Source organism: Homo sapiens, chromosome 7 (assembly GCF_000001405.40).
Source record: "Homo sapiens chromosome 7, GRCh38.p14 Primary Assembly".
NCBI lineage: Eukaryota > Metazoa > Chordata > Mammalia > Primates > Hominidae > Homo > Homo sapiens.
In genome coordinates, this window is record NC_000007.14 from 48,606,627 (window position 1) to 48,619,445 (window position 12,819).

Genomic DNA, 12,819 nt, shown 5'->3' on the forward strand with positions numbered 1-12,819 from the left:
TTTCCTGTATTAGGTGTCTGTCAGCCCCTACCGGGAGCTATCTCCCAGTCAGGATACACAGGGGTCAGAGACCCACTTGAGGAGGCAGTCTGTCCCTTATCGGAGCTCGAACACTGTGCTGGGAGAACCACTGCTGTCTTCAGAGCTGTCAGACAGGGACGTTTAAGTCTGCTGAAGCTGCACCCCCAACCACCCCTTCCCCCAGGTGCTCTGTCTCAGGGAGATGGGGGTTTTATCTATAAGTCCCTGACTGGGGCTGCTGCCGTTTTTCCAGAGATGCCCTGCCGAGAGAGGAGGAATCTAGAGAGACACTTAGCCTTGCTGAGCTGCAGTGGGCTCCACCCAGTTCGAACTTCCTGAGGGCTTTGTTTACACTTTGAGGGTGAAACCGCGTACTGAAGCCTCAGCAAGGACGGATGCCCCTCTCCCAACCAAGCTTGAGCATCCCAGGTCCACCTCAGACTGCTGTGCTAGCAGCAAGAATTTCAAGCCCGTGGATCTTAGTTTGCTGGGCTCTGTGGGGGTGGGACCCGCTGAGCCAGGTGCCAGGCACTGGAGGAAATCTCTTGGCCTGCTGGTTGCAAAGACCACAGGAAAAGCGCAGTATCTGGGCCGGAGTGCACGTTCCTACCAGTACGGTCTCTCACAGATTCCTTTGGCTAGGAAAGGGAAATCCCCTGACCCCTTGCACTTCCACGGTTGAGGCAATGCCCCACCCTGCTTCAGCTCACCCTCCATGGGCTGCACCCACTGTCCAACCAGTCTCAATGAGATGAACCGGGTACCTCAGTTGGAAATGCAGAATCACCCACCTTCTGCGTCGATCTCTCTGGGTGCTGCAGACTGGAGCTGTTCCTATTCGGCCATCTTGCCAGCTCTCTCTTTAATTCTTTAAACTTGGTTTTCGTTAGTTCTTTGATGATGTTTATAATAGCTGCATTTAAATTTTTTCTTCTAAATCTAGCATCTGAGAACACTTATGAACAATTTCTTTTGACTGCTTTTTCCTCCCCAGTTATGGGGAGAAACTTTCTTGTTTCTTTGCATGCCTTAAAAATTTATATTGAGAACTGCACATTTTAGATAATTGTAGCAGGTCTGGATTCTGATTCTCCCTCCCCTGTGGTGGTTATTGTTGCCAATTTGTAAAAAGTTTATTTGTTTATTTTGTGTTTGTGTCTTACTTATTTGCCTGAGATAAATCTGTGAAAACTCTCCTTTAGTGAGTAGCTACCTACTCCTCTACTCATTTTCTTATTTTTTATTTTTATTTTTGGACCGTCTCATTCTGTTGCCCAGGCTGGAGTACAGCAATGCAATCTCTGCTTACTGCAACGTCTGCCTTGTGGGTTCAAGTGATTCTCCTGCCTTAGCCTCCCAAGTAGCTGGGATTACAGGCGCCTGCCACCATGCCCAGCTAAATTTTGTATTTTTAGTAGAGACAGGGTTTCACCATGTTGGTCAGGCTGGTCTGGAACTCCTGACCTCAGGTGATCCACCCACCTCGGCTTCCCAAAGTGCTGGGATTACAGGCATAAGCCACCATGCCCAGCCAGTTTGTTTTTTAAGACTGGCTCATAGGAGTCACTCTGTTTATGCATAGGCTAGTTGCTAGTGAGTGACTGGGCACAAGTTGTGCTCAACCACCTGAGGCCAACAAGGTTTTTGTCTTTGCAAATGTATCTGTGTGTGGGTAGTGAAGAAATTAGAAGTTCAGGCTATTTTCATGTTAGCCTAACTTTACTGGCTCCTTTTGTGTCTCTCCTATGTGCATGTGGACAGCCTCTGGGTTCACAAAGAACATGTGGCTGGCCTGGGCCCTCTCCAATCTCAGCTGCACATACATGCAGCCGCAGCTATATGCATGCTACATCCACGTAATTCCAGTCTAGTAGAGGCCAGATACTGGAGGAATTGGCTTTTTCTGTTTGTTTGGCTCCCAAATAATCAGGTATATCAACAGTGTCACTGGACCTGGGCATTACCCAATGGTCCAAATTGTTTGCATCCTCTTCAGCTGGGGCAGAGAAGCTGCTGATCCTCATGGTCTGCCCTTCCTGCCAGTAGTTGCATGTTTTCGAAACTAGGGAGAGTGGGGAGCAGCCTATGGCTGGAATGCCACTGATTATCAGTCTTCTTATCCTAAGTTTAGCAATTTGTCAGCTAAAAGTGCTTCTTAGATTGTGGTATGCTTTTTGTTCAATTTTCAGAATTTTGAAATGGCTATTTTTGTTAATTTTGTCCAGATTCATCATTGCTTTTTGAGAAAACAATTTACCAGTTTCTTCATTTGACCCTAGTTGGAAGTCCTACCCTGGGATTTGTTGTTGTTGTTGTTGTTTTTCTTGTATTTTACTTCAGAAAATAAAATTTTACATTGAAATGAATTAAATTTGATAAACCTTCTACTTTATCATAATGCATACATGTGTTTACTTAAAACGATCATTTTGCTTTGCCAGTTCTAGAAACTCTCTACATTCTTGTATTTATTTTGCTGGAGTTTGCTGGCATGAGAACATGAGCCTTCATGTTCATGCAGAGGTTCTAAGATTGGATAAACTGGTGTCATGACAAAAATTTCATTTATTTCTCATATAATTATTAGATTGTTCTCAGAAAGACTGCATATCATTGCAATTTCTCTTTTAAATCCTCCTATTCATTTGGTTTCACATTAAATATATATATATTCATTTCCATAAATCTGTCCATATCCATGCAGTACAAAGGTCAAAATTACTCACTGTCGATGAAGAGTGGGGAAGCTTATGATTTATCCTGTGATTCTAAAATGGCAGACTTTGTTGAAAAAAAGTCTCGTATTGGACATTTTCCCCTGAATTTTGAGTTTATTTATCATTGCCTCTTCTGGTTCCTTACCCCAGGGAATCTTGGTAAAGCATGGAGCAGGAAACTGAGGATAAGAACCTTGCGTACTACTTTTCTTACTAAGGGAGTTGAAATCAGTATAATCAAGAATGACCAACACTACTTTTTTCTCACACATCCAACATCATGAATTCCAATATAACTCCTGAAATATCTGCATTGCCTAGCCATATTTCTGTACTAATTAGATTATCCAGCCATACAGGAAATTTTGTGTTTATTTTTTGAAGCTAGCACATCTTACGTGGCCAGAGAAGGAGAAAGAGTGTCAAGGGGAAGGTGCTACACATTTGTTAACAACCAGATCTCATGAGAACTCACTCACTATCACAAGAATAGCAACAGGGAAACCTGCCCCATGATCAAATCATCTCCGGCCAGGCCCTTCCACCAACATTGGGGATTACAATTTGACATGATATTTGGGCAGGGACACAAATCTAAATCATATTATTTCATAACTGGCCTCTCCCATATCTCATGTTTTTCTCACACTGCAAAACACAATCATCCCTTCTCAAGATTCCCCCATGTCTTAACTCATTTCAGCATGAACTCAAAAGTCCACAGTCCAGAGTTTCATCTGAGAAAAGTCAAGGCCCTTCTGCATGAGCCTGTAAAATAAAAAACAAATTAGTTACTTCCAAGATACAATGAGAGTACAGACATTGGGCAAATACACCTGAACAAAAAGGAAGAAATCAGCTAAAAGAAAGAGGCTACAGGCCCTGAGCAAGCCCAAAACCCAGCAGAGTAGTCATTAAATTTTAAAGCTCCAAAATAATCTCCTTTGATTCCATGTCCCACATTCAGGCCACACTGAAGCAAGGGGTAGATTGCAAGGCCTTGAGCAGCTCCGCCCCTGTGGTTCTGTGGGGCTCGGCTCCCAAGGCTGCTTTCAAGGGCTGGCATTGAGTGCCTGTGGCTTTTCCAGGAGCGCAGTGCAAGCTGTCAGTGGATGTACCATTCTGTGGTTTGGAGGGTGGTAGCCCTCTTCTCACAGTTCTACTAGGCACTGCCCCAGTGGGGACTCTGTGTGGGTGCTCAAATCCCACATTTCTCTTCTACACTGCCCTAGTAGAGGTTTTCCACGAGAGCCACGTCCATGCAGCAGACTTCTGTTTGGACAGCCAGGTGTTTCCATACATCCTCTGAAATCTAGGTGGAGGCTCCTAAGCCTCAACTCTTGCCCTCTGTGCATCCGCAGGCTTACTGCCATGTGGAAGCCACCAAGGCTTACTGCTTGCACTCTCTGGACCAGTAGCCTGGGATTTATCTGGGACAATTTAACCATGGCTGGAGCTGGAGCAGCTGCAACACAGTGAGCAGTGTCCTGAGGTTATGCAGGGCAGTGGGGCCCTGGGCCTAGCCCACAAAATCATTCTTCCCTCCTAGGCTTCCAGGCCTATGATGCGAGGGGGGCTGCCTAGAAGGTCTCTGAAATGCTTTTGAGGCATTTTCCCCATTGTCTTGGCTATTAACATTCAGCTCTTCTTTACTTATGCAAATTTCTTCAGCCATTCCTCCTCAGAAAATGTGTTTTTCTTTTCTACCATGATGTCAGGCTGCAAATTTTCCAAACTTCTATGCTCTGTTTCCCTTTTAAATAAAAATTTTAATTTCAGATCATGTCTTCGCTCATGCATAACAAAACTGAACTATGCTCCAGTTTCCAATAAGTTTCTCATCTCTATCTGAGATCTCCTCACCCTTGACTTATTGTCTGTATCACTATCAGCATTTTGGTCACAGCAATTTAACAAGCCTCTAGGAAGTTCCAAACTCCCTTATTTTCCCATCTTCTCCTGAGCCCTCCAAACTGTTCCAACCTCTGCCCATTATCCAGTTCCAAAGCTGCTTTCACATTTTCAGGTATCTTTATTGCAATGCCCCTCTGTCTGTACCAATTTTCTGTATTAGTTTCTTTTCACACTGCCATAGAGAAAAGAAGTTTAACAGGCTCACGGTTCCACAGGCTGTACAGGAAGCATGGCTAGGGAGGTTTCAGGAAACTTACAATCATGGCAGAAGGCAAAGGGGCAGTGGGCACGTCTTACATGGCCAGAGCAGGAGGAAGAGAGTGAAAGGGGAAGTGCTACACACTTTTAAACAAACAGATCTCACAAGAACTCACTATCATGAGAAAAGCAAGGGGGAAATCGGTCACCATGATCCAGTTACCTCCCACCAGGCCCCTCCTCCAACACAGGTGATCACAATTTGATATGAGATTTTGGTGGGGACACCAACACAAACCATATCAGACCTCCACTTGTCTGAACTATGTTTAAGAAACTAATATATAAGTGACTTAACATTCTACCTCTTTAATTAGAGTACCTACAGTGCACCCATAAGATGATTACTTTTAAATTGAAATTAATTAAAGAAATATGTGTTTGTACAGGAAAATATATAAAGCATATTTGGAAAATTTATGACATGTATCTCTTGGACTTCATGCTAAGCAACTATAACAAAGAAACCTCAACTTACAGTGGCCCAGACAAGACACATTTTTTCCTCTCGCTAAATTCATGTCAGTGGGCTGTGCATCATCAGGCCAACCAAGGCCTTGGGTTCTTTCCACCGTGCCACCATCACCATCATCATGGTTGATGTTGACTCATCAGCACCGTATCTACATCCTAGCTCAAGGGAAGTGGAGAAAAACAAAATCCAGGTCAAGTGGCTTGCTGTATTTCAACATGACCCAGAAATTGTGCATTCCATTGAGCTGAGTTTGTTGCATGTCCACATTGAGGTGCATGGAAGGCTGAGAAATATCTTGATCTGAATGCCCATTAACCCACCTAGGAGACTGCTTTATGACTGTTCTCCAATAATATAAATAACACATGCTTCCTGTAGAGCATTTGGTTATGCAAAATGGTAAAATAAGTAAAGAAAATCCATCATTAATTTCATTTTTGAGATATTGACAGTCATACTTTTTTGTGTGTTTTTCTTACTAGGTAGTTTTTTAACATACCTGTGCAATTCTCTGAATACACATTGTCATTTTACCATTGCTATACTATGAACTTTTCTCCATGTGATTAATTGACTTTAGTGAACCTCATTTTAATAGCTAACACATGGATGAACTCTTACTTAAATGAGTGATATATTCTCCTACTGTGAAACATTAACCTGTTTCCAGATGCTTACTATTATAAATAAGTTGTTACATGCATTTATATTTTCAGTGTTTTCTAGGGTAAGTTCTTAGGAAAGTAATTACTGCCAAATTGGTGTTCAAAAAGTTATGCCAATTTTTACTCCCACCAGCAATATATGAGATGACATATTGAGAATTACTGAGAAAATGGCCTTAACTTTCTGGGTATTTTTTTTTTTATTTGAGAACTCATTGTTTTTGAAGTGACGATTGGAAATAAAAACCCCTCGTTTTTCTCTACAATACACAAAAGTACACATGAACACTTTTCCAGCAAGAAAATAGTTTTAAAATCAATTTGATTTAATGGTTTATATTTTATAATTTGTTGGCATGTTTATTACCCACGAGCAGTTCTTTGAATGGTCTCTACATGTTATTTACCCTTTTTTCTCTATTATATTTTTATTATTTTGTTTTAAACTAACATATATTAGTTCTTTATAGTAAGTATATCAACCTCTACCCAGTAGGTCTATTGGAATTTTTTTCTTTCTTTTTTTTTTGAGATGGAGTCTTACTCTTCTCACCCAGGCTGGAGTGCAGTGGCAAAATCTCGGCTCACTGCAACCTCCGCCTCCCGGGTTCAAGTGATTCTCCTGCCTCAGCCTCTTGAGTAGCTGGGATTACAGGTGCCCCCCACCACACCTGGCTAAATTTTTGTACTTTTAGAAGAGACAGGGTTTCATCATGTTGGCTAGGCTGGTCTCGAACTCCTGACCTCAGGTGATCCACCCACCTCGGCCTCCCAAAGTGCTGGGATTACAGGCATGAGCCACCACGCCTGGCTGGAATTTTTTAATGCTAGTTTGCTGTGTTAAGACACAACGACTACAAATCCCTTAATAGCTTCTTCCATTGCTTTTCTGCTTAGAAAATATCTTCCCATATTCAAATCATTATGTATATAAGATAGTAACATCTTGTTCCTTGTAATTCTTTAGTGTATTACTGAATTGCAATTATTTTAGTTGTATAGAAAATATTTATGTTTTCTGGAGCAAGTCTTCTTTCATGATTCCTCTTTCATTTTTTTTCTTCCTTTCACTAAGTAATTTTAAAGGTATACTTTATAATTATTTTAAAATTTTCTCATGGGAGTGATAAATGTAAAATTTTGATTAGATTTACTATATCTGTATTATAATATATTTTCATTATTATAATAATATAATTATAGATTACCAATTTTGTAACATATTTCAAATTGAAATGTCAAAATATAATTTAAATTATAATTACACATTAAAATGTTATTTATGGTATTATATTTTATATTATGCACCATATTAAAATACAACTTATTTATATTTTACATATAATTAATTTACTTATGTTTTATGTTTACACTTAAGGTAATATTTAATATTTATACTAACATATTAATATTATTTTATATTACACTAATTTTCATATTATAACAGTTTTTCCATTTTCAAAATATCCATTCTTTTCTTTTCTTCCATGCCTCCTTCCATTGATTCAATATTTCATTTGTGCCTATTAGTAAGGCTTCCTTGTTTCTTTTCATAAAACATTCACATTGCTTTGTTAAGATTATTCTTATTTTGTATTTTTGTACTATTGCTAAATGCTTCTCTCCTATATATTTTATAGCTGGTCTTCCTGGTATAAGAAAATACTGATTTTTGTTAGAATGGCAATCATTAAAAAGTCAGGAAACAACAGGTGCTGGAGAGGATGTGGAGAAATAGGAACACTTTTACACTGTTGGTGGGACTGTAAACTAGTTCAACCATTGTGGAAGTCAGTGTAGCGATTCTTCAGGGATCTAGAACTAGAAATACCATTTGACCCAGCCATCCCATTACTGGGTATATACCCAAAGGACTATAAATCATGCTGCTATAAAGACACATGCACACGTATGTTTATTGTGGCACTGTTCACAATAGCAAAGACTTGGAACCAACCCAAATGTCCAACAATGATAGACTGGATTAAGAAAATGTGGCACATATACACCATGGAATACTATGCAGCCATAAAAAATGATGAGTTCATGTCCTTTGTAGGGACATGGATGAAATTGGAAATCATCATTCTGAGTAAACTATCGCAAGAACAAAAAACCAAACACCGCATGTTCTCACTCATAGGTGGGAATTGAACAATGAGAACACATGGACACAGGAAAGGGAACATCACATTCTGGGGACTGTTGTGGGGTGGGGGGAGGGGGGAGGGATAACATTAGGAGATATACCTAATGCTAAGTGACGAGTTAATGGGTGCAGCACACCAGCATGGCACATGTATACATATGTAACAAACCTGCACATTGTGCACATGTACCCTAAAACTTAAAGTATAATAATAATAAAATAAAAAAATAAATAAATAAAAAAGAAAATACTGATTTTTTGTTAATTGTAAAATTGGCTGTCTAAATAAAACCTTATTGTTTTCAAAAGCTTTTGATTTGGTTACCATGAGATTTCTGTGTAAAAAAATTAAGTAATTTGCCCTAATGGTATCTTGTCTCCTTTTTGTTTTGAAAAGTTTGACTCAACCCTCCCCTCTTCAGGAAATGGCTCATTTTTGTCTCTTTTCCTTCTTTACAGCATGGAGGAGTGTGAGGCTCTTTGCACAAGACTGGCCATAATGGTTAACGGCAGCTTCAAATGTCTTGGTTCTCCTCAGCACATCAAAAATAGGTGCGTTGAAGTTCTCCTTTTGCTTAGATATTTACTATGAAATCAATAGCATGATGCAGGGTTATGACTGGAGATGCTTTAGAGGCAAGTATGTTCCAATTACCTGCTGGCATAAAATAGGAGATGAAGGCTCTGAGGGGATAAAATACTGTGGCTAGTAAGTCAAACACATAGCAACTCCCAAACACAGTCTAGTGTTCTCCCTGTAAGGGAGACATTTTGCTTTTCTCTTGCCAGGTAGACATTGCTCCCTCCTTGTAGTGACATTGGTAGGGGTGAGAATAAGATTGCAGAGTCAAGATGATGACAGGACACAAAATGTCCTCTTTACACACAAAATGCCTTATGAAAAGGCTGTGCTGATATGTCCCTCATCTGCAGTGAATCAAAGTTCCCATTTTATCCTACCAAACACTATCCTTTTGAAAAAGACCATCAATTTATAAGGGTAGGAGAGGGTTGTTATGGTTGCTTTCCATTTGGATTATGAAAGACTAAAGACTTCTTTCCTGTGCTCATTGATCCTTTATATTTCTTCCTGGTTAATTCTCTTCATGTATTTTCTTTATTTCCTTTTTGGAATCTTAATAATTTTGTTATCAATTTGTGTGAGCATTGTTACATCCTGGTATAACATTAAAAAAATTAAAGTTGCCTAAATACACGTCCAATTTTCCTTTGATTTGTTTAACCTGTCATTCTATGTAGAATAATTTATTCATTTATGTTGATAAATCTCTTATTTTCATTTATTCAGTGTTTTTAAGGTTAGGATTCTCAAGCAGAGATTTGGTAAATAGTCATATGTAAATTTTAAATACTTTTAATTTATGGAGAAAATAGCTGATGCTCAGGATTGAGATGACATAGTAGGGAGTGAGTGTCCATTTTTAGAGTTAGGCACTGCTGGGATGGTCAGCCTCACAGTTGCTTGCTGCTTCGGGTCAACCACTGGTCAGATGCACCTACTGGAAACTATTCTCGGTATGTACTCTGCCCATCTTTAATAAGTATCATCAAAAGAAAAATAATATTTCATGGTCTCCAACCTTTATGAATGCCTACATAAAGTTTTATAACCCATTCTTGATTGTTGGGTGATTTATGTCTGATTTATGTTTACAAAAGTTTCCCACAAGAGCCAGCAGGACGAAGCACATGGGGATAGGTTTTCTCTAGCTGTTGCATTCTACATACTGGAAAATCTGTGCCTACTTCGGAGTTTGGGTTCCCATAATGTGATATATGGGTTGAGCATGAATTGTTAGTGGATATGAACTGTAGGACTATATTAAACAAGAAATGGCTTGTGGGTTATTCACTGAAACATCAAACTTAATAAAATTTAAAAAATAATTTGTGGCCGGGTATGGTGGCTCACACCTGTAATTCTAACACTTTGGGAGGATGAAGTGGGAGGATCACTTGAGGCCCAGAGTTTGAGACCAGCCTGAGCAACATAGTGAGACCTCATTCCTACAAAACATTTTTTAAAAATTAATTTTAAAAAATTATATCCAGGTGTGGTGGGGTGCATCTGTAGTGCTAGCTACTTAGGAGGTAGGAGAATCAGTTGTGTCCAAGAGATCGAGGCTGCAGTAAGCCATGATTGTGCCACTACACTCCAGCCTGCGTGACAGAGTCAGAAAACAATTAAAAAGTAAAATAAAATAATTTGTAAAATGCTTATTCTCCTATAACTATAAACCTATAATAAACAAACACATGATGATGCCTGTTTCTATAATATTGAGATAAAGAATAAAGGATTGATCATGACATAGATGGTAACAATAACTAGATTTTTCATAAACTTCGGCATCCATACCTGGGAGTTAGCAACATCAGAACCCATTTCTCTGACGTGGAGGTGTTGAGATGGATGAGAGAACTTGTAGTGGGTCTCCTTCCTCCTCCTCTCCATCCCTTTCTTTCCATGAACATGAATTGTTAGGAACGTGAATAAGGAAGAGTAGGGTCTGGGTGAGGGAAGAGGTTCTGAGGAGATAACTCAGGAGAAGGCGAGGGTTTTGGAGGGAAGATTATGGCTGAATTTGGGCAGGGATCTGGGTGTCAGGATTTCCCCGTGGAGAGGCAGGAGGCTGGTGAGGAGGGTCCCAGGCTTGGGCTGGGAGACATCTGCCCAGAGGGAGAACGGAAGAGAGGAGCTACAGAAATCCCACAGAGGGGGGACCCAGAGGGCAGGGCTTGGGCTTCAGAGACCAGCTCCCCTTGGGAGGGGCAGGTGCAACAAGAGCCTGCAATGAGAGCCTAGTGGAGTGAAGCCAGGAGAGCACGAGGGTTTAGTCACCTTTAGCTTCTGAATTGCAGTGCTGACCTTGACCTCATGAACAGTCGGGAACCCTTCAGTGCAGGTCTCAGCAAATTCGCCCGTGACAGGAAGCTGAGGCTTGCACCTGCTACGTCAGTTCACTCGGACAAAGCAGCCATTTTTCAGGGTGAAGTGGGGAAAGTGGAAAAGGAATGTAAGGATCAGAAAAATGAGGAGCCACAGAAATATAGAGGGAAGAATGTCCGTGGCAAGTAGGGACAGATACATAAGAGGAAAAAACAAAATAGAAAGTGAAGTGAAATTTCCCAAACCAAAGAACTTTTCCTACCTCACTCTCTGCCCCAGGCACAGCCCTCAGAGAAATGGGGCCTCAGATGAGAAACAGCTCTTCCATGGGACTTCAGACCCCACCTGGGCTCCCTGAGTTCATCCCACCTTCCTGAGCCTGGGGAGTAAGACCCAAGCACAGGGATCACTTTCTACCCCAATCTGCAGGTGGCACTGTCTTTCCTTCCCACCCTCTGTCGGTTCAGTCAGCCCCGTAAACCCATGCCTGACTCTGCTCTGATTCTCTTCCTTCCTGCTGTGCTCATTTGAGTTGCTTTCTTGGGTCTTAAGCAAAACCTTGGTACATGCACTTCACCATCTGAGAAGGGTTTCCGCAGAGGACACCAAATCCCATTCCCATGCTCCTAACAGAGCATTAACACCCCAGCATCCTGCTTCATTCCTGGACTGACCTCATCCTTAGCCCACTGTTTTAAAATATAGTGTGTTAATAGAAAAATTGAAGTACAATAAGGCCAATAGATCAGGAAACGACTGCCTTTGAAAATACCATGTATTACAGTTTCCAATAATAGGGGCATGGCACACAGGGTCCCATGAGGGAGCATCAGGTCAGCCAGGAGGCAGAGGGCAGCTGGAAGGAAACCTGAGCAAGGGATTTTATTGTGATTTCTATTGGAAGGAAGGGGTGAAATAGGGCAAGCAGGCCTAGGATCTGCTACTTTGAATAACTTTAGTGGGCTGTGCAGCATAGGGGTTGTCCCTAGTTGTCTAGTACCTGTGCCTGGGGTGACTGGGGGAGGTGGATTGTGGCTTAACATGTGAGAGCCCCTTAGAGGAGGTGTTTGAGATGATGTGTGCTCTGGGTCAGCTGGTTTGTATTTGAAAAAGTGAATTTATTTGCAAGTTGTTTACTATCTTTAGGAATTGGCTAGCTCTGGGAGGGGCAGTTCTTCCAGAGTCAGCAAGTCCCCACTTTTTCAAAGTATTAGAATACAGAAGATAATAGGCATGGTTAATACACACACTCCAGGACTCACTGAGGCTGAGTGGAGCCATAAGGGCAGGGCCAATCACATTCTGCCTGCCTGGAGGAAGCCAGGCTTGCCCACTTTGCAGAGGAAGGCAGGGAGCTCTGGCTGTGCCAAGGGTTCTGAAGTCCCCCTTCTCTTCCTTGGTACAGACTTTTGTTCTTCCTGGGAATCTTTAATAGCTTGTTTCAGAGCTATTATCTACATAGTGAATTTCCAAACACTTTGAGATTATAGAGTTGTATTAAAAAGCAAGTTCCTTGGACCCCTGATCTATGGATAACCTAAAGCTCTCTGTGACCGGTCTGTACCAATCATCCATGGAGAAGGGCCTCTGAGAAAAAAAAATGCAATAGGCCACTATCTAGTGTGTATGTCTATCCATTGATATCAAGTTGTTATGTTAACTGTGATGTTGTTTCTTACCTGAGTCACAATTTAAGAAAAGTCAATCAA

The 12,819-nt window shown here is 41.0% G+C and overlaps 1 protein-coding gene across 11 annotated transcripts in view, besides 1 other annotated feature; it reads left to right on the forward strand.

Moving 5' to 3' along the window:
- ABCA13 (ATP binding cassette subfamily A member 13) overlaps positions 1 to 12,819 on the forward strand; it is a 476,040-nt gene that overhangs the window by 435,169 nt on the left and 28,052 nt on the right. For 10 of the 11 annotated variants that reach the window (XR_926914.3, XR_926915.3, XM_011515130.3 and 7 more), the window contains one exon: positions 8,659 to 8,751. Coding sequence is in view for 8 of the 11 variants with exons in the window: in XM_011515130.3 (XP_011513432.1) it covers positions 8,659 to 8,751 (93 nt within the window). In the remaining 3 variants the exon portion in view is untranslated. Of the gene's footprint in view, positions 1 to 8,658; positions 8,752 to 12,819 lie in introns of those variants that run through there. The other variant, XM_047419919.1, reaches the window with a different exon arrangement.
- Positions 525 to 1,025: an enhancer, noted in NCBI's record as "H3K4me1 hESC enhancer chr7:48646747-48647247 (GRCh37/hg19 assembly coordinates)". NCBI's record gives its function as "activates a minimal SCP1, AML or CMV promoter by ChIP-STARR-seq in naive H9 embryonic stem cells {active_cell/tissue: H9 hESC(naive)}" and the evidence as "EXISTENCE:reporter gene assay evidence [ECO:0000049][PMID:30033119]".